The following is a 20,262-nucleotide window of genomic DNA, read 5'->3' as shown; positions in this document are numbered from 1 at the left end:
GGAGGCTGAGGCAGGTGAATCACTTGAACCTGAGAGGTAGAGGTTACAGTGAGATTGCACCACTGCACTCCAGCCTGGGTGACAAAGACTCCATTTAAAAAAAAAAAAAAAAGTGTACGGTTCTGGCCGGTGCAGTGGCTCCTGCCTGTAATCCCAGCACTCTGGGAGACCGAAGTGGGAGGATCTTGGGCTCAGGAGTTTGAGACCAGCCTGGGCAACATAGTGAGACCCCATCTCTACAAAAAAACTTAAAAATTAGCCAGGCATAGGCCAGACTCAGTGGCTCATGCCTGTAATCCCAGCACTCTGGGAGGCTGAGGCAGGTGGATCACAAGGTCAGGAGTTCAAGACCAGCTTGGCCAAGAGGGAGAAACCCTGTCTCTACTAAAAATACAAAAATTAGCTGAGTGTGATGGCGGGCGCCTGTAACCCCAGCTACTCGGGAGGCTGAGTCAGAGAATTGCTTGAACCCGGGAGGCAGAGGTTGCAGTGAGCCGAGATTGTGCCACTGCACTCCAGCCTGGGTGACAGAGTGAGACTCCATCTCAAAAAGCTAACAACAACAACAAAAATTAGCTGGGCGCGGTGGCACATTCTCGTCATCCCAGCTACTCAGGAGAATGAGGTGGGAGGTCGAGGCTGCAGCGAGCCCTGATCGTGCCACCGCACTCCAGCTGGGCGACAGTGAGTCCCTGTCTCACAAAATAAAAGCAAATAGAAAGTGTACGGTTCTATGGTTTTAGTATATTCACAGATACGTACAATCACCTTGGCCCAGTTGGGCTCTAGAATAAAGTAACCATAGACCGGATGCCTCGTCAACCACAGAAACCAATCCTTCACAGTTCTGGAGGCTGGAAGTCCAAGATGAAGGCGCCCACAGTTTCTGCGTGGTGAGGGCCACCTCCTGGTTCACAGAAGCGCCTCCTCGCTGTGCGGTCATGTGACGGAGGCCGGAAGGCAGGTCCCACAGCCTCTGGGGAAGGAGAGCCCAGAGTAGCTGAGGAACTGGGGTGCCCACACCAGCCTGCTGGGGGCTTCAAATGTTCTTTTAGGAGTGACAAGGGAATCGACCTGCCCAGCTCTGCAGCCCTGGGGGCCACAGAGGACCGGGGCACAGCCGGCGCCTCTGCTCAGGGCTCCGGCCTCCATCTCTGGGAGCGAGCACCCGTGGATGCCTCACTCCACCCAGGGTCACTGTCGCGCAGCAGCAGCTTTCCAGAAGGCAGCCGGCCATTGACGAGTGACCAGGCGGAGACGGTGAAGGCCAGAAGTTCCTCCAGAGGCCGCGTGCCAGCCCCTCGCCTGTGAGGGGGGCCTGGGTCTCCGGGCTCCCCAGGACGGTGCTTCCTCTTGCAGCTGGGCCTGGAGGCCGGAGAGGGTCATGTGAGCCCTCCTGGGCGGGCGGTGCCTCTACGGCTGTGACCTTGAGCAAGTCCCCCTCCTCTCAGGTCTCGGTTTCCTAGGACATGGAGTGGGGACGGAGGTGGTTCCTCACCTCACGAGATTGCGGAGGCACGTGAAGCCGATGGTCCTGAGCTTCTGGACAAGTGCCCAGCCCAGAGTAAGCGCTTAGCAAATCCGAGTGATTCGGCGGCACCACTGAGCCTCGGTTTCCTCATCTGCAAGACAGGGTTACGCTTTCCTCACAGGGAGGAGGGTTCCGGGGGGTCATCAGGCAAGGCCCTCAGCACAGAACCGCCAATAGCTAACACCTATTATTGACCTTGTTGTAACAGGATGATAAAATGGTTTTCTTGACTGGGCGCCACGGCTCATGCCTGTAATCCCACCACTTTGGGAGGCCAAGGCAGGAGGATTACTTGAGCCCAGGAGTGGAGACCAGCCTGGGCAACATAGTAAGACCCTGATCTCTACAAAAAATAGAAAAAATTAGCCCAGCGTGATGGGGCATGCCTGTAATCCCAGCTCCTCCGGAGGCTGAGTCAGGAGGATTGCTTGAGCCCAGGAGTTCAAGGCTGCAGTGAGCTGTGATTGCACCACTGCACTCCAGCCTGGGTCACACAGCGAGACCCGATCCCTGCCCCACCCCCCACCGCCCAAAAAGCTTTTATTTGCTGCCCCAATTTTAGCTGAGACTTTGAGAGGACAAAACAATACAAGGGGTGAGGTCCCCCACCCCACAGGCCATCTTGCTGGACATGCTTTGAGGCTGTGCAGCGCCGTGGCCGGCATCTGTCCCGGGCCCACTTGGTATAAATGAGGCAGATAGATGAGGTGGGTGGAAGAAAGGCCCCTGGCCGAGCTGCTCATGTGGACCACGTGTCCCTTGGAGGGTGGGCTGCCTCCTTCCTGGTTGCAGCCTGACCGAGGTGGGCAGCCAGTGCCTAAGGTTTGATCCGTGTTAACCGCAATCACTGTCATTGGACTCATCATCAAAAGCATAGGTGCGGCCGGGTGCGGTGGCTCACGCCTATAATCCCAGCACTTTGAAAGGCCGCGGCGGGTGGATCACCTGAAGTGAGGAGTTCGAGACCAGCCTGGCCAACATGGTGAAACCCCATCTCTACTAAAAATACAAAAATTAGCCAGGGTGGTGGCAGGCTCCTGTAATCTCAGCTACTCAGGAGGCTGAAGTAGGAGAATTGCTGGAACCCGGGAGGCGGAGGTTGCAGTGAGCCGAGATTTCGCCATTGCACTCCAGCCCAGGCAAAAACAGCGAGACTCTGTCCCAAAAAAAAGGCATAGGTACATGTGGCTCCTGGAGTCAGAACTGTGGCTGGCCGCCTGCCTCCTTGGCAGGCAGTCACCTTCCCGGAGCTGCAGAACTTTTTCATCCTACAAATCTGAAACTACACACATTAAAGGACAGTTCCCCCTTCTCCTCTCTTTCCAGCCCCTGGCAGCCAGCACTCCACTCTAAGAGTTTGCCCTTTTGGCCGGGCGTGGTGGCTCACGCCTGTAATGCCAGCACTTTGGGAGGCCGAGGCGGGCGGATCACGAGGTCAGGAGATCGAGACCATCCTGGCTAACACGGTGAAACCCCGTCTCTACTAAAAATACAAAAAAATTAGCCGGGCATGGTGGCGGGCGCCTGTAGTCCCAGCTACTCAGGAGGCTGAGGCAGGAGAATGGCGTGAACCCGGGAGGCAGAGCTTGCAGTGAGCCGAGATCGTGCCACTGCACTCCAGCCTGGGCGACAGAGCGAGACTCCATCTCAAAACAAAAAAAAAAAAGAGTTTGCCCTTTTTTTTTTTTTTTTTTTTTTTGAGAGGGAGTCTCACTCTGTTGCCCAGGCTAGAGTAGAGTGGAGTTCAGTGGCGCCTCTCAGCTCACTGCAACCTCTGCCTCCCAGGTTCAAGTGATTCTCCTGACTCAGCTTCCTGAGTAGCTGAGATTACAGGTGCCTGCCACCACACCTGGCTAATTTTTGTATTTTTAGTAGAGACAGGGTTTCACCATGTTAGCCAGGCTGGTCTCGAAATCCTGACCTCAGGTGATCCACCCTCCTCGGCCTCACAAAGTGCTGGGATAACAGGCATGAGCCACCGTGCCTAGCCTTGAATTTCTCTTAAGTCTTAAGAGTAGGAGCAGGGGAGGTGATGTTGCTCAAACTCTTTTTTTAAAAAAACAGCTTTTTTTAGGTATAATTAACATATAATATGTAAAGTGAACAATTTTTTAGTTTTTAAGAGATAGGGTCTTGCTGTGTTGTCCTGGCTGGAGTGAAGTGGTATGATCGTAGCTCACTGTAGCCTCAACTTTCCAAGCTTAAGCCATCCTCCTGCCTCAGCCTCTGGAGTAGCTGGGACTATAGGCACAAGCTACCAAACCTGCTATTTTTTTTTTTTTTAAGACAAAGTCTCACTCTGTTGCCCAGGTTGCTCACTACAACCTCCGTCTCCCAGGTTTAAGCAATTCTCCTGCCTCTCCTGAGTAGCTTAGATTACAGGCACCTGCCACCACGCCTGGGTAACTTTTTGTATTTTTAGTAGAGACGGGGTTTCACCATGTTGGCCAGGCTGGCCTTGAACTCCTGACCTCATGATCCACACGCCTCGGCCTCCCAAAGCACTGGGATTACAGGCGTGAGCCACCATGCCCAGCCTAATTTTTGTATTTTTTGTAGAGATGGGGTTTCGCCATGTTGGCCAGGCCGGTCTCAAACACCTAAGTTCAGGCAGTCCTCCCACTTCGGCCTCCCAAAGTGCTGGGATTATAGGTAAGAGCCACTGCACCCAGCTATTAATACTTTCTTTTATGGATTATGCTTTTGGTCTAAGAAATCTTTGTTTAATCCAAGATTATGAAGATTTTCTCCTGTGTTTTCTTCAATAGTTGATTTTATATTGATGTCTATGGTCCAATTTTGAGTCAGTTTTATATGTGCAGGGCAGGAGTCAAAGTTCTCATTTTGGCACATGGAGACCTAATCGTCCCGGCAGCTTTTGTTGCAAAGCCTGTCCTTTCTCACTGTGTTACCTTCCACCTTTGTCGAAAATCAAGTGACCAGATACGTGTGGATCTATATCTGGATGTTCTATTCTGTACAATTAACCTATGTTTCTTTAAATCTTAACACCAGGACCACATGGTCTTGAATAATGTAGCTTTCTAATATGTCTTTTAAAATAATAGTTGTATATATTTTGGAAGTACATGTACTATTTTAATAATTTATATATATAAATTATATATATTATTATTATTATTTTTTTTTTTTTGAGATGGAGTCTCCATCCGTCTCCCAGGCTGGAGTGCAATGGCACGAACTCGGCTCACTGCAACCTTCACTTCCTAGGTTCAAGTGATTCTCCTATTTCAGCCTCCTGAGTAGCTGGGACTACAGGAGTGCACCATCATGCCTAGCTATTTTTTGTATTTTTAGCAGAGACAGGGTTTCACCATGTTGGCCAGGCTGGTCTTGAGCTCCTGACCTCAAGTGATCCTCCCCCTTCATCCTCCCAAAGGGTTGGGATTACAGGCGTGAGCCACCGCACCTGGCCAAATTTTATAATGTCTTAAAGAAAAGAAGTGTAAGTCCTCAAACTTTGTTCTTCTTTTCCAAAATTTTATGAAATATTTATAGCTCCTTTGCATCTCCATATGAATTTTAGAATCAGCTACCAAAAAAAAAAAAAAAGAAGTCTGTCGGGATTTTGATTTTGATTGGGACTACATTGAATCCATAGGTCAATTTGGAGAGAAGTGGTAACTTAACAATAGTGAATGTTCTGATTCATGACTGTGTGTCCCGTTTATTTAGGTGTTCTTTAATTTCAATCAGCGATGTTTTGTAGTTTTTGGTGTACAGTCTTGCACGTCTTTTTTTTTTTTTTTTTGAGATGAAGTCTCGCTCTGTCCCCCGGCCTGGGGGGCAGTGGCACGATCTCGGCTCACTGCAACCTCTGCTCTGGGGTTCATGCCATTCTCCTGCCTCGGCCTCCTGAGTAGCTGGGACTACAGGCGCCCGCCACCACGCCTGGCTAATTTTTTTCGTATTTTTAGTAGAGATGGGGTTTCACTGTGTTAGCCAGGATGGTCTCCATCTCCTGACCTCATGATCCGCCCACCTCGGCCTCCCCAAGTGCTGGGATCACAGGCGTGAGCCACCGCGCCCGGCCGCACATCTTTTGTTAGATTTATACTTAGGCAAATCATATTTTTGTTGCTATTGTAAATGATATTGGAATTTTGAATTCCAATTTCTGATTACTTATTGGTAGTATTCAGAAGGACAATTGTTTTCTGTTTATTGAGCTTGTATTCTGAAGCCTTCTTAAGTCACTTACTAGTTTTAATAGCTTTTTCTGGCCGAGCTTAGTGGCTTATGCCTGAAATTCCTGTACTTTGGGAGGGAGAGGCGGACGACTCGCAATCACTTGAGGTCAGGAGTTCCAGAACAGCCTGGCCAACATGGCGAAACCCCATCTCTAGTAAAAATACAAGAATTAGCTGGGCATGGTGATACGCGCCTGTAATCCCAGCTACTCAGGAGGCTGAGGCCCGAGAATTGCTTGAACCCAGGAAGTGGAGGTTACAGCCAGCGGAGATCCCAGCATTGCACTCCAGCCTGGGTGACAGAGTGAGACTGTCTCGAAAATAACTTTTTCCCTAGATTTCACAGGATCTTCTGAGTAGATGATTATGTTATCTGCATGTAAAGCCTGTTTTACATCTTCTTTCTAAGCTACATGCCTTTTGTTTCTTTTCCTTGCCTAAGTGCATTGGCTAGAACCTCCTGTGCAATGTGAATAGAAGTGGTGAGAGTAGATATTCTTGTCTCGTTCCCTATCTTGGGGTGAAAGCACTCTATCTTCACCATTAAGTACGATGTTAACAGTAGGTTTATCTTAGATGCCTTTTATAAGGTGGAGGAAGTTCCCTTCAATATCTAGTTTGCTGAGAGTTTTTATCAAGAATGGACATTGGGTTTTATCAAATGCTTTTCCGGTATTTACTGAGATAATCATGGTTTTTTTTTTTTTTAATTTTTTACTCTGTTAATATGGTGAATTACATGGATTGATTTTCAAATGTTGAATCAACCTTGAATTTCTGGAATAAACCCCACTTGGTCATCAAGTGTTATCTATTTTATAAATTATCGGATTTGATTGCTAAAAGCTTATTAAGAATTTTTCTGTTTGGCATCTTGTAGGAAGAAAAAACTTCTTGATAAAATAAAATAAGAGTTTTTCCATCAGTCTTGATGGGTATTTGTAGTTTTCTTTTCTTATATGTCTTTGTTAGGTTTTTGTGTCACAGTAATGCTAGTGTCATAGAATGAATTGGGAAGTATTCTCTTCTCTTGAATTTTCTGGAAGAGTTTGCATATAATCATATTATTTCTTCCTTAAGGAAGAATTCTACGTTTGTTAGAATTCACCAGGGAAGCCATCTGGGCCAAGAGTTTTCCTTACGAGAACACTTTTGACGATAAATTCAATTTCTTTAATAGGCATAGGGATACTCGGGTTATTTATTTCTTGCTGAGTGAACTTGGATAATTGTTGTTTTTGAGTAATTTGTCTATTTCATTGAAGTTGATTTTGATAGAAACATACATAATATTCCCTGATTTTCTTTTTAATATCCAAGGGATGTGTAGTGACGTTGTCTTTCTCATTCCTTGACATTGGTGATCTATATCTTATTGCTTTTTTCCTGATCAGTCTGGCTAGAGTTTAATTAATTAATTTTTTCAAAGAAACACCTTTTGATTTTATTTTTTTCCTATTTTTGTCTTGTTTTGTTTACTTCGTTGATTTCTGCTCTGATCTTTATTTCCTTTCTTGTTATTTATTATTTTTCTTCCTCTAGTTCCTAAGATAGCTTTTTTCTTTATTTTCTTATTTTATTTTTCATTTTTGAGACAGAGTCTCACTCTGTCACCCAGGCTAGAGTGCAGTGGTGCAATCTCGGCTCACTGCAACCTTTGCCTCCTGGGTTCAAGCGATTCTCATGCCTCAGCCTCCCTAGTAGCTGGGACTAGAGGTAAGCACCACCATGCTCAGCTAATTTTTGTTTGTTTTGTTTTGCTTTGTTTTTGAGACGGAATCTCACTCTTGTCACCCAGGCTGGAGTGCAACGGCGCGATCTTGGATCACTGCAACCTCTGCCTCCCAGTTCAAGCGATTCTCCTGACTCAGCCTCCTGAGTAGTTGGGATTACAGGTGCCTGCCACCATGCCCAACTAATTTTTGTATTTTTAGTGGAGACAGAGTTTCATCATGTTGGCCAGGCTGGCCTCGAACTCCTGACCTCAGGTAATCCACTTACCTCAGCCTTCCAACGTACTGGAATTACAGGTATGAGCCACTGCACCTGACACTTTTTTCTTATTTTAATATAGGCATTTAGTGCTATGAATTTCCCTGCAAGTACTACTTTAGCACCTCAACTTGTGATGTCATGTTTTCATTTTTCATTAAGTTAAAATATTTTCTGAGTTCCTTTTTTTAAATAATGTGTTATTTAGCTGCCAACTATTTGGAGATTTTTCTGGCTATCTTTCTGTTAATGATTTCTAATTTAATTCCATTGTGGTCAGAGAACATATTTTGTGTAAGTTGAATCCTTTTAAAGTTATTGAGATTTGTTTTATTGTAGGGACCAGCCCCACAGGATCGGTGGGTCTCTCCCCATGTGCGGAGACGAGAGAGTGTAGAAATAAAGACACAAGACAAAGAGATAAAAGAAAAGACAGCTGGGCCCGGGGGACCACTACCACCAATGCACGGAGACCGGTAGTGGCCCCGAATGTCTGGCTGCGCTGTTATTTATTGGATACAAAGCAAAAGGGGCAGGGTAAAGAGTGTGAGTCACCTCCAATGATAGGTAAGGTCACGTGGGTCACGTGTCCACTGGACCGGGGGCCCTTCCCTGCCTGGCAGCCGAGGCAGAGAGAGAGAGGAGACAAAGAGAAAGACAGTTTACTCCATTATTTCTGCATATCGGAGACTTTTAGTACTTTCACTAATTTACTATTGCTATCTAGAAGGCAGAGCCAGGTGTACAGGATGGAACATGAAGGTGGACTAGGAGCATGACCACTGAAGCACAGCATCACAGGGAGACGGTTAGGCCTCCGGATAACTGCGGGCGAGCCTGACTGATGTCAGGCCCTCCACAAGAGGTGGAGGAGCAGAGTCTTCTCTAAACTCCCCCAGGGAAAAGGAGACTCCTTTTCCCGGTCTGCTAAGTAGTGGGTGTTTTTCCTTGACACTGACGCTACCGCTAGACCATGGTCTGCTTGGCAAGAGGTGTCTTCCCAGACACTGGCGTTACCGCTAGACCAAGGAGCCCTTCTGGTGGCCCTGTCTGGGCATAACAGAAGGCTCGCACTCTTGTCTTCTGGTCACTTCTCATTATGTCCCCTCAGTTCCTATCTCTGTGTGACCTGGTTTTTCCTAGGTTATGATTGTAGAGCAAGGATTATTATAATATTGGAATAAAGAGTAATTGCTACAAACTAGTGATTAATGATATTCATAGATAATCATATCTAAGATCTATATCTGGTATAACTATTCTTGTTTTATATTTTATTATACTGCAACAGCTCGTGTCCTCGGTCTCTTGCCTCGGCACCTGGGTGGCTTGCCGCCCACATTTTATGACTTAGAATATGGTCTTCCTATTTGTATGCACTTGAAAAGAACACATATTCTACTGATGTTGGGTGGAGTGTTCTACAAATGTTAATTAGGTTCAAAGTGTGTTGATAGTGTTGTTCAAGTCTTCTATATTCTGACTTATTTTCTGTCTATTTGTGTTGTCAATTATTGAGACAGGGTAGGGTTCAATGACTCCTGCCTGTAATCCCAGCACTTTAGGAGGCCGAGGTGGGAGGGCTGCTTGAGTCTAGGAGTTCAAGACCAGCCTGGGCAACATAGCAAACACCCTTCTCTACAAAAAATGCAAAAATTAGCCAGGCATGGTGGTGTGCTCCTGTAGTCCCAGCAACTTGGGAGGCTGACGTGGGAGGATTGCTTGAGCCCAGGAGGCGGAGGTTACGGTGAGCTGAGAGTGTGCTACTGCACTCCGGCCTGGGTGACAGAGCGAGACCCTGTCTCAAAAAAATAAATAAATAAATAAAAAGATTGATGCAGGGCTGTTGAAACCTCTGACTATAACTATGGATCTATCTATTCCTCCTTGTAATTCTTTTTTTTTTTTTTTTTTTTTTGAGACAGAGTCTCACTCTGTCACCCAGGCTGGAGTACAGTGGCACAATCTTGGCTCACTGCAAGCTCCACCTCCCGGGTTCACACCATTCTCCCACCTCAGCCTCCCGAGTGGCTGGGACTACAGGTGCCCGCCACCACATCCAGCTAATTTTTTTTGTATTTTTAGTAGAGATGGGGTTTCACCGTGTTAGCCAGGATGGTCTCGATCTCCTGACCTCATGATCTGCCCGCCTCGGCCTCCCAAAGTGCTGGGATTACAGGTGTGAGCCACTGTGCCCAGCTGTTGTCATACTACATTTTTCCACATATATCATAAAACCCATAGTACATTGTTATTATTTTTGCTTTAAACAGTTATTTTTTATTTATTTATTTATTTTTGAGACGAGTCTCGCTCTGTCACCCAGGCTAGAGTGCAGTGGCGTGATCTCGGCTCACTGCAAGCTCCGCCTCCTGATTTCATGCCATTCTCCTGCCTCAGCCTCCCGAGTAGCTGGGACTACAGGCGCCCGCCACCACGCCCGGCTAATTTTTTGTATTTTTAGTAGAGACAGGGTTTCACCGTGTTAGCCAGGATGGTCTCATGGTCTCGATCTCCTGACCTCGTGATCTGCCCCCCTCGGCCTCCCAAAGTGCTGGGATTACAGGTGTGAGCCACCGTGCCCGGCCTAAGCAGTTCTTTTAAAGAGATTTAGAAAAGCCCCTACACCCCAATCTTTACATTTACTCATGTAGTTACCATTTCTGATCTTTTTGTATTTTTCTCCCCATCTTTTTTTCAGGGACTCCAATTACACATATATTAGGCCACTCAAAGTTGTCCCACCATTTACTGATGATCTGTTCCGAATTTGTTCATTCTTATCTCCGTGTGTAGTTCATTTTGGGTAGTTTCTATGGCTATTTCTTCAAGTCAAGTTCACTCATCTTTTCCTCTGTTGTGGATAATAGCCTATTAATCCCTCCCCGGTGTTTCTCAGATACCATAATTTTCATCTCTACAAGTTCAGCTGGGATCTTTTGTATCTCTTCTATGCCTCTATTCAACAGGTTTAATCTTTCCTCTAGCTTCTTGGAAATACAGAGTACAGTTGTGATCATGGTTTTAAAGTTTCTGACTGCGAATTTTTTTTTTTTTTTTGAGACGGAGTCTCGCTCTGTCGCCTAGGCTGGAGTGCAGTGGTGCGATATCGGCTCACTGCAACCTCCGCCTCCCGGGTTTACGCCATTCTCCCGCCTCAGCTTCCCGAGTAGCTGGGACTACAGGCGCCCGCCACCACGCCCGGCTAATTTTTTATATTTTTAGTAGAGACGGGGTTTCACCGTGTTAGCCAGGATGGTCTCGATCTCCTGACCTCATGATCTGCCCTCCTCGGCCTCCCAAAGTGCTGGGATTACAGGCATGAGCCACCGCGCCCGGCCCTGACTGCGAATTTTTTAATCTGAGTCATTTCGGGGCCCATCTCAATTGTTTGAGTTTACCCATTATAGATTATATTTCTTTGCTTCTTTGCACGCCTGGCTAATTTTTTGTATTTTTAGTAGAAACGGGGTTTCACCATATTAGCCAGGCTGGTCTTGAACTCCTGACCTCAGGTGATCTGCCCACCTTGGCCTCCCAAAATGCTGAGATTACAGGTGTGAGCCACTGTGCCCAGCCACTTTCTCACATTCTAACATCTGCAGATATAGTATATGACTAAGTGGGAAGTTTATATTTATTATTATTATTTTTTGAGACAAGGTTTCCCTCTGGTGCCCAGGCTGGAATACAGTAATGCCATCACAGCTCACTGCAGCCTTGACCTCCTGGGCTCAAGTGATCCTCCTACCTCAGTCTCCTGAGTAGCTGGGACTACAGGCACATGCCACCATGCCCAGCTAACTTTGATTTTTTTTTTTTTTTTTTTTGTAGAGACAGGGTTTCCCTATGTTGCCCAGGCTGGTCTTGAACTCCTGCACTCAAATGATCCTCCTGCCTCAGCCTCCCAAAGTGCGAGGATTATAGGGGTGAGCTATTGCACCCCGCCCAAGCAGGACTTTTTTGTTCTGTTTTTTTTTTTTTTTTTTTTTTTCAGATTCAGCCTCGTTCTGTGGCCCAGGCTGGAGTGTGCAGTGGCACGATCTTGGCTCACTGCAACCTCCACCTCCCGGGTTCAAGCAATTCTCCTGCCTCAGCCTCCCTAGTAGCTGGGACTACAGGCACATGCTACAACACCTAGCTAATTTTTGTATTTTTAGTAGAGACGGGGTTTCACCATGTTGGCCAGGCTGGTCTTGAACTCCTGACCTCAAGTGATCCGCCCACCTCAACCTCCCAAAGTGCGGGGATTACAGGCATGAGCCACCATGCCTGCCCTTAGCCTGTTTCTGTAGGCTCATGAGCTGTTTCTTCTTCTGGTAGTGGATTTTGACCTTCTTCCTCTTCTCCAGGGTGGCTGTCACCACCTGGTACTTCCAGGCAACCTTGTGAGCCAGGCGCCCCAGGTGGGCAGACTTTCTCAGAGGCGTGAAACACAGTCTTAATGGCAGCGGGAACCACCCTCTGCTTTTTCTTGTCATAGGGTGGTGGGATCCCACCAGATACTTGGAGGTGGTCAGGGCAGCCTGGCCTCACTTAAGTCTTTTTAAATTTAAATTTAAATTTTTTTTTGAGACAGAGTTTCGCTCTTGTTGCCCAGGCTGGAGTGCAGTGGTCTCAAACTCCTGACTTCGTAATCTGCCTGCCTTGGCCTCCCAAAGTGCTGGGATTACAGGCATGAGCCACTGTGCCTGGCCAGTCTGTTTTTGGTTTTTTTTTTCCGAGATGGCATCTTGCTCTGTTGCCCAGGCTGGAGTGCAGTGGTGCGATTTCGGTTTGCTGCAACGTCCTCCTCCTGGGTTTAAGCGATTCTCCTGCCTCAGCCTCCTGAGTAGCTGGGATTACAGGCACCTGCTACCACGCCTGGCTAATTTTTGTATTTTTAGTAGAGATGAGGGTTCAACAGCTTGGCCAATGCTGGTCTTGAACACCTGAACTCAGGTGATCCACCTGCCTCAGCTTCCAAAAGTTCTGGGATTACAGGCGTGAGCCACTGTGCCCGGCAGGCCTCACTTAGTCTTCGGGGCAGCATGCCCCACACAGTCTGCCTAAAGATGTGGCTGGGGGCCTGGAAGTGGTAGGGGGCGCAGGATAGGTTGGCGTTCATCCACTTGCAGGGGAAGGGCAGGCACTTTCACTTGTTTCTGTAGAAATTGCCAGAAACGCTGATGCCCTTGCCACCCAGGACCACCACCTCTTGGTCCAGCAGTACCTATTTGGCTGTGATAGCCACAGGTGGCCCAGGAGATGGCCTCAGCCACTGCGTACCAGGGCCTGCCCCTCTGCTACCTTTGACAGCCGCCCGTTACCGGGTGCTTTTGTATTCCTATGCGCTTCTTGGGCTTTGTTCTGGGCTCTTACTTGGAAATAGTTTGATTTGTTTGGGTCTTGCTTTTAAGCGTTGTTAGGTGAGATCCAAGTGGCATTCTGGGTAGGACTCATATTCTCCCAGCACCGAGACAAAACGTTTCTGAGCACTGTTTCCAATGCGAAGTGATTTATGAGGCTTTCCACTTCGGCCGGCAGGAAGAGGCACTATTCTTCGCCCTAGAGTTCTGAAGAGTTTGCCTCTAATCCTCTCATGTTGTTTTCCTTCTCTAGACCCGGGATTTCCTCACATGTACCAAGCTGAGCAGTACTCAGTTGAATACTCGAGAGGACCCTCCGCAAGGGTCCAGAGTTCTCTCTGTGTGAGGCCCTCTCCTCCCCAGTCCTCTGCTTTGTAAACTCCGGGAGACTGTCGGGCTCCTCTTGGGCTCTCCTTCCATGCACTGTGATCTGGACACACTCTCCAGGCGGTAACTGGGGCAATCATATGGCTCATTCATTAGTTTCTTGAATCTTGGGGATCACTGTCCTTCCTTGTCTGATGTCTACTGTCTTGATTTTTTTTTTTTTTTTTTGGCAGAGTCTCACTCTGTCACCCAGGCTGGACCTTTGCGGGTCCCCGAGCCCCATTCCTGAAGTGAGTGCTGCCGGTCAGCTGTGGGATCAGGGAAGACTTCGTGGGGCACTGGGGTCCGTCTGCTGGGGCCTGGGTCTCTCCCTGAGAAGGCAGGGAAGCCACCGTGAGCACCCCAGTGACTCTGCCAGGCGCTGCCCTGAGCCCCGTGCAAGCCCTGCCCTGTGAGGCACACGGCACCTGCCTCATTTTCACGGGGGGCAGATGGGACGGCTTGCTCCAGCTGGTGTCTCAGAGAAAGGCCTCCTCCCCAGGGCCTCCTGCACCCAGTCTGCACTCTTCACCACTCACCTGGCTGCCCTGCCCTAGTGCGTTCCTGGGATGAGACCCAGAGGACCCCTGGGCAGGGTGGGGGAGCCCTGGCCTTGCTGTGTGCCTCTGGTGCCATTAGCTGGCCCTGTGCCCTTGAACTGTCTGAATACCTGCTATCTCTTGTCATCTCAGGTGGGGGTCTGGCTTTTGAACAAGTCTTGGCTTCTTTCTAGGAAGTCGTGCTGGGAGTCATTTATCAACAGTTCCTGACTCTTGCTCTGTCCTGGCACTGCCCTCACAGAGCTGCCCGTTGCTGGGACGGACTAGATAAATGAATGAAACCACCGACTACACGAGAAATTTCAATTGCGACGGAGGCCTCAAAATAGCAGTGCGGCAGGGCAGGAGCACACAAAGGGAGCCAGTGCCTGTGAGCAGGTCAGCCCACCAGGAAGGCTCTGCCGTGGGGAGGTGGCGCTTAAATGGAGACCTGCAGGATGAGCAGGAAGGGACAGAGGATGGAGCGGTCCTGTGGCGACGAGGAGAATGGGCCATTTGAGAAGCAGAGAAAGTGCAGAGGGGCCTGGAGAACCGCAGGGAGAGTTAGATGCGGAAGGGGGCAGGAGGGGGAGGAGGGCCAGACAGGAGGGCCTGCAGGCACTGTGAGGGCTGCATGGCAGCCAAGCCCCCTTCTAGGCTTCCAGATGGAAAGGCACTAGGTGAGGTCGAGAAAGCCAACATCCGATGGGCCACAAAGCAAAGCTGCTTCTGTACCCTCACGGGCCAGGATGCCAGCAAGGAGAGGTCGCCTCTAGCCAGGACCGGGCTCGGCTCTTGTCTCATATGCTGGGGCTCCCGCCTTCCATCCACAGCCCACTCGCTCCCCCCACCCCTGCCTGTGGCCTCTGCAGCTGGCAATCTAGGTCTGAAAACAATGCAGAGAATCTCCGGCCGGCCGGGGCTGCGGTATGGATGGGCTTCTATTTATAACAATGCAGCAACTGCCACCTCAGTGGGCCTGTGGCCTGACCTCTGGTGGGACTCTGGCAAGCCTCAAAGCCAGACCCCAGAGGAGACGGCAGAGGAAGGGCAGATGACACAGCTGAAGGGTATGGAGCCAGCTGCTCCCACCCTGGAGTCCTCGTCAGGACCCGCAAACCCCTGTCCATGTGCGGTTCACGCCAACATAAGCTAGACAGGCCCGGCCTCTGCCCAGCCCCCGCCGGGCTGCCGTTGTAGACAGATCGTGATCACAGATACAAACAGGTGAGAGGCAGCAGAGGGGACAGGTAACTGCGTGGTGTCAGGGTTATTTGCTGTGACTGATGTCAAGGCCGGCTTGTTTTCACAGGGTGGTCTGCTGGTCGGTAAGGGGTTCAGCAGTGTTGCTGGCACCAGCCGGCAAGATTTCTTTGGAAATGAACAGGTATCTTGGAGAAGAATCAGGAGATCCAATGGTAGCCAGCCAGGGCCTGGCAGGAGCGGGAGGGAGACACTGCCCGGGCCCCAGTGCTGGCTCCGCCCCTCATTCTCTTGTGAGACTTGGGCAAACCGCTTCCTGGCTCAGCCTCATTTTCTCATCTGAAAGCTGTGGGTTGTAGTACGTGGCTCACAGGGTGAAATGTGAAAATGTCAGTGAAGGGCTTAGCATAGTCAGTGCTGGCATGCTGTAGCCATCCAGTGAGTTGTTACTATTACAAAGCAATTTTTAAAAAGGAATGTGTGTTAGAAACACAACCAGCAGGAAGTGAGCTGTGCTTCCGTATAGCAACATCAACGAGGCAGCGGTTCCCAGCCTGAGTGCCAAGGACCCCAACTCCAAGGAGAAAGGTTCCGAGCAAACGTATTTGGGAAATGGCGGACTGTTTCCTCTTGTTGATTTACAAAACATATTTGCATATTAAAGGCTCAAAAAGGTCTTTTTTATAATAAAAAGATGTTAAATTTTGTTCCATCCACTCTTCCTAAACTTATATGGCCATAGAGCCCCCCCCCACCTTTTTTTTTTTTATAGAATACTAACTTCCCATAGGAGACATTTTGAAAACGGCAGAAGTTTGGGGGTTGATACACCCTCCATCCAATTGCTCCTCCTCCTTTCCCCAGGAGGAAAGTAGAGAGTGATGTTGAGACAGAGCAATGGGGGTGCACACGCAGGAATCCGACCAGCTGGCAGCCCAGGCTGGGAGATCCACTATCCCTGCCTTCCAGCCAGGGTGCTCCACGGACTTCCTCAGAGGAAGTTCAGGCAAGAAGCCCCATCTCTGGCATGAAACTGGGCCAGTTTTGTTGGCTGAAAATCAAATGCCGAGAAGTACTGGACAGGTCTTCTAAGAGAAATTACAAATGGGGCCAGGTGCACTGGCTCATGCCTGTAATCCCGGCACTTTGGGAGCCAAGGAGGGCGGATGGCTTGAGTCCAGGAGTTCAGGACCATCCTGGCTAACACGGTAAAACCCCGTCTCTACTAAAAATACAAAAATTAGCCAGGCGTGGTGGTGCACGCCTGTAGTCCCAGCTACTCGGGAGGCTGAGGCAGGAGAATCCCTTGAACCTGGGAGGCGGAGGTTGCAGCGAGCCGAGATTGTGCCACTGCACTCCAGCCTGGTGACAGAGCAAGACTCCGTCTTAAAAAAAAAAAAAAATAGAATAAACAACTAAGTGGCAGTCCAGAAGCCAAGTGGGGTGAGCTGCTGCAAGGCAGGATGAGGGCAAGGAAGGTCTTTCCTCCTCTGTTACAGGGACTCACAGAGGAGGGTTCAAAGTGTTTTGAGTGGCAAGGAGGTGACTTGGCCCACTTGTGCTTTTAGAGTTTTTCTTTTTTGAGCAGGTGCCAGAGCGGCTTAAATTTACACTTGTGTTTCTTATCAACAATTTCAGATAAAATCCCTTAGCCTGGATTAACTGCAAAATAAACATGTTCATGGGAGCTGGGTTCTGTTTTTCAGATGCCCCCTGGGTGGGTATTTATGGCTACTGTCCTTAGATTAAAGCAGAAGGCCCATGGGGTTCATGGACCATCTGTACAAGAATCACCCACTTTAGGAAAAACACAGATTCAAGGGCCTAGCCTAGCCCTGATGAAAAATCTCCAGCGAAAGCCTGAGCGCCGCACTAGAGCCGCACCATTCCCCAGCAGCAGGGTCCTGTGTTTGATAAGGGGCCTGAAGGCCAGGCAGGAGATGTCCCCACCCCACAGACCAGATGAGGTCAAAGTGGGAACCAACTTGGGATCATTTAACCCAGATGTCAGGCCAGAGCCTGCGGGTGAGCGTAACAGCATCGCCAAGACTGGGAAGCAGCTTTGGGCCAGGTGCACCTCATTTAGTCCGAACCGCCACCCTGCCAGACAGGTATTCGAATTCTACTTTACAACTGAGGGGAAAAACTCTCAAGACACAGAGGCCAAGTGCCTCGTTCTGGTTACAGAGCTGGTGGGGGTAAGAGTGAGGGCAGCCTGCACAGTCCACTCCTTCTCTGTAATGCCAGAGACCTGACCTAGAAGCCTCTCTGGAGGCTGCCACAGAGAACGCAAAGCTGAAAGCAGGCACCAGGACACTCACAGGTGGGCAGGGCCATGTGGAGGGGACCACCGGCTCAGCCACATCACCGTGCCACAGGACTCATACTTTTGCCCAAACGAGAGGCCGGGATTGTGGGTGTCGTGTAACTGGGGTTCTACCTGTCCCTGAGGAGCTCAATTTGGCCTCTATCCCTATGTTGCCATCTGAAGCACCAATTACCAGTGTGATATGTGTGTCTGGAAAAGCCAAGCAAAACACAGCCTAGCTCAGTCTGCGCCCCCTTTCCTGAGTTACGCGGAGCAGAAACATAAATGAAACCTCCTGTGCCTGCCGCTGCAGCACATGCCCCAGAAGGGCTGCGTGGGCATCCCTGGGGCCCCTTCTTGTCATCCAGGCTCTTTGCCTGCCCCGATTTGGAGATGGCTCAAGCCCCGCCATCTCCTCCCTGGGCAGGTGGGAGCGACTGTGCATTCCAGCCGGATATCCTGACAGTTCAGGCGTCAGGGGATGCAGGCTGAGCTGACCCCTGCCATCTACCGCTGTAATCACCCCCAAAAAAGGAACTTGGAGGGGCTCACATGCCAGTAGTACATTCCTCCGGGGCTGCTGCCTGACAGGGAGTGGGGGTGTTATCTGCCTGAGCACAGCTGATAGTGCCTTATGGAGAGATGTCACATGCCACCTCAATGGAGGATCAACGCAGAGAATTTGAGGTCAAGGGTTTAGGCCGAACCATTTCTATTTATAAAAAGGAGTGTCCAGGGGGAAGCAAAAGGGTAGGAGAAGACTGGCTCGGCCTGGGTGCCAGTCGGCAGGATGACAGCCAAGGGCAGAACGGAGCCTGCAGAGCTTCAGGTACATCTCTCCCTTTAAAGCTAAGCCCTCCGCCACGAGCCTCTCCTGTCAGAGCTTGAGTCCCTTTGTCTCTAGACTAGCACGAGCCCACGTGGGAGAAAGATGCCCTGTGACTGGTTGTGAATGTCATGGGGACTGTCCCCCCACTTCACCTGTGAACACAGGGTGGAGGTGACAGGCTCTTCAATTCTCAAGGACCAAAAAGAGCACACATTAAATTTATGGAGACCCCAGCTCTTTGCGAGAGGCAGAGCCCCTAGATAACGGACCGTACAGACAGCCCCTCCCTCTCCTAACTGCACAGAGCGCAGGGTGACAGTCATCCAGAGACACCACGGATCTAATTCCAGCTCTTGGCTCTGCTGGCATCTGGTTGAGGGAGGGATTTCTGAAACCCAACAGTGCTATACAATGAGATTCCTCTTCTCGTGAGCTTAAGAAATCACCAAACACAAAGCCAGGTGGGCGTCCAGCCTCTATCGGAGTCCTCTGGAGCCAGAGTCCCCAGGATGGAGGCTGGGAATGTGCACTTGACAAAGAACTCTGCAGGTGACCCTGGGGCACAGGCGAGATGGGGACCTTCAGACCAGGTGGTGACACAGTGGAGACCTCACCATGGTCTACTGTCCCCACATAAGCCATCAGAACCAAGGAGGTCACACTGTCTGCAACATGATGAATTAATGTCATGTCAAACTTTTATTAAAACATTAAAAAAATACAACCTGCCAATATGTAAAACTCTAAAAAAAAAAATCTCTTCCCAACTCCCCGCTGCTCATGACCCAAGCCAAAGCACTGTCAGATTCTGGGCCTGAAAGAGAAATTCTTACATCTGTTTTCAATGCGAGACGGTCCTTGTTTGATGGCAACTATCTAGGATGTTACAGGCCTCAAAGATACTGCATTAAAGATAAAGAAGCACTCTAATAAAACTGCAGTGATGAGCTCTGGGCCGTCCTAGCAAACACTGTTGTCAAATCCAGCATCGTTCTGCTAGTGTTGTCTGGCAACAGCAGTGTCTGTCTTCACACTTCCTGGGTCTACCCAAGGGCTATCTGCACTGTGGTTAGTAGACACTGGGTAGGTGTGGCTACCAATGTCACTGCCACATACAGAATATAAAGGCTGTCTTCTCAAGTGACCGGCCCCCTCCTCTCTGGAGTAGGACACATGGCACCCAAGAGCCACATGGAGATGAGAGCCAAGGCCGGCTAAGGCGCAGCACTGTCCTGCCTCACGCTGGCTACTATTGTACTGTACTGAAAAGCGCTATGGCTGCTTCTGAAACTCAACTGCTGCTGGCATGAGTGGCTTCCTCTGCCTCCACTCAATCGCAGAGTGCGTCCTTGGATGGTCCTGATACACAATGGCTAAAAGAACAAGGAGAGGAGATAACCAAGTTTCAGCCTCAAAAAGATGACCCACCAGCATTCAACCTCTTCCCTATGTGGAGGGCGCTAGGTCCAAGTGAGACCACGGCACATTCGATGCTGTTTATCAACACCCGACGCTGGTGACTTCTGATGCCATCCTTGAAGACACAGTGTTCTGGCTGATGGAGGCTCTGCTGGCTTCTCAGAGCCACAGAAACGGGGCAATCTTCTTGGCTGTGATCTGAAAAAACCCACATACGTTCTGTACGGAAACAGACTGTTTAATAGTGGGAGGGAAAACCCAACATGAAATATAAAACAAGTAATCATGCGCCTTGTGAGTTTTGGTTTCTGTTGTTTCTTTCTGGGTGTATGTGTTTTGATGGCAACGTCGGTCTGAACAGCCTGCTCCAGCATTTCTCGGGGAAGAAGCTGAGGATGCGGTTGGTCCCAGGGATCGAAAGGCCTGCTGACACGCCCTCAGCTTCGCCAGCCACCAAAACCCTGGACAGACCTGCAAGGAAGCACAGGACAGTGGTGGAGTCAGCTGCTCTGTCAC

The 20,262-nt window shown here is 49.5% G+C and overlaps 1 protein-coding gene across 3 annotated transcripts in view, besides 7 other annotated features; it reads right to left on the bottom strand.

Annotated features, from left to right (window-relative positions):
* Positions 741-1,057: a silencer, noted in NCBI's record as "fragment chr9:134128001-134128317 (GRCh37/hg19 assembly coordinates)". NCBI's record gives its function as "represses an EF-1alpha promoter that drives an FKBP-Casp9 reporter gene in an ReSE screen in K562 erythroleukemia cells {active_cell/tissue: K562}" and the evidence as "EXISTENCE:reporter gene assay evidence [ECO:0000049][PMID:32094911]".
* Positions 985-1,034: an enhancer, noted in NCBI's record as "active region_29172". NCBI's record gives its function as "activates an Ori minimal core promoter by ATAC-STARR-seq in GM12878 lymphoblastoid cells {active_cell/tissue: GM12878}" and the evidence as "EXISTENCE:reporter gene assay evidence [ECO:0000049][PMID:35858748]".
* Positions 13,874-18,762: an enhancer, noted in NCBI's record as "VISTA enhancer hs1963". NCBI's record gives its function as "enhancer in: somite[12/14] | branchial arch[11/14] | heart[12/14]" and the evidence as "EXISTENCE:transgenic organism evidence [ECO:0001131][PMID:17130149]".
* Positions 15,214-15,781: an enhancer, noted in NCBI's record as "H3K4me1 hESC enhancer chr9:134113277-134113844 (GRCh37/hg19 assembly coordinates)". NCBI's record gives its function as "activates a minimal SCP1, AML or CMV promoter by ChIP-STARR-seq in naive H9 embryonic stem cells {active_cell/tissue: H9 hESC(naive)}" and the evidence as "EXISTENCE:reporter gene assay evidence [ECO:0000049][PMID:30033119]".
* Positions 15,258-15,417: an enhancer, noted in NCBI's record as "active region_29171". NCBI's record gives its function as "activates an Ori minimal core promoter by ATAC-STARR-seq in GM12878 lymphoblastoid cells {active_cell/tissue: GM12878}" and the evidence as "EXISTENCE:reporter gene assay evidence [ECO:0000049][PMID:35858748]".
* Positions 15,837-16,337: an enhancer, noted in NCBI's record as "H3K27ac hESC enhancer chr9:134112721-134113221 (GRCh37/hg19 assembly coordinates)". NCBI's record gives its function as "activates a minimal SCP1, AML or CMV promoter by ChIP-STARR-seq in primed H9 embryonic stem cells {active_cell/tissue: H9 hESC(primed)}" and the evidence as "EXISTENCE:reporter gene assay evidence [ECO:0000049][PMID:30033119]".
* Positions 16,338-16,838: an enhancer, noted in NCBI's record as "H3K27ac hESC enhancer chr9:134112220-134112720 (GRCh37/hg19 assembly coordinates)". NCBI's record gives its function as "activates a minimal SCP1, AML or CMV promoter by ChIP-STARR-seq in primed H9 embryonic stem cells {active_cell/tissue: H9 hESC(primed)}" and the evidence as "EXISTENCE:reporter gene assay evidence [ECO:0000049][PMID:30033119]".
* The window catches only part of NUP214 (nucleoporin 214), a 109,078-nt gene continuing 107,823 nt past the window's right edge, over positions 19,008-20,262 (bottom strand). For all 3 annotated transcript variants that reach the window (NM_005085.4, NM_001318324.2, NM_001318325.2), the window contains one exon: positions 19,008-20,217. In NM_005085.4, the coding sequence (NP_005076.3) occupies positions 20,184-20,217 (34 nt within the window). In that variant the 3' untranslated portion in view covers positions 19,008-20,183. The remainder of the gene's footprint in view (positions 20,218-20,262) is intronic.

The sequence above is a fragment of the Homo sapiens genome, chromosome 9, assembly GCF_000001405.40.
Source record: "Homo sapiens chromosome 9, GRCh38.p14 Primary Assembly".
NCBI classification, from domain to species: domain Eukaryota; kingdom Metazoa; phylum Chordata; class Mammalia; order Primates; family Hominidae; genus Homo; species Homo sapiens.
This window is presented reverse-complemented; position numbering and strand designations above follow the sequence as displayed.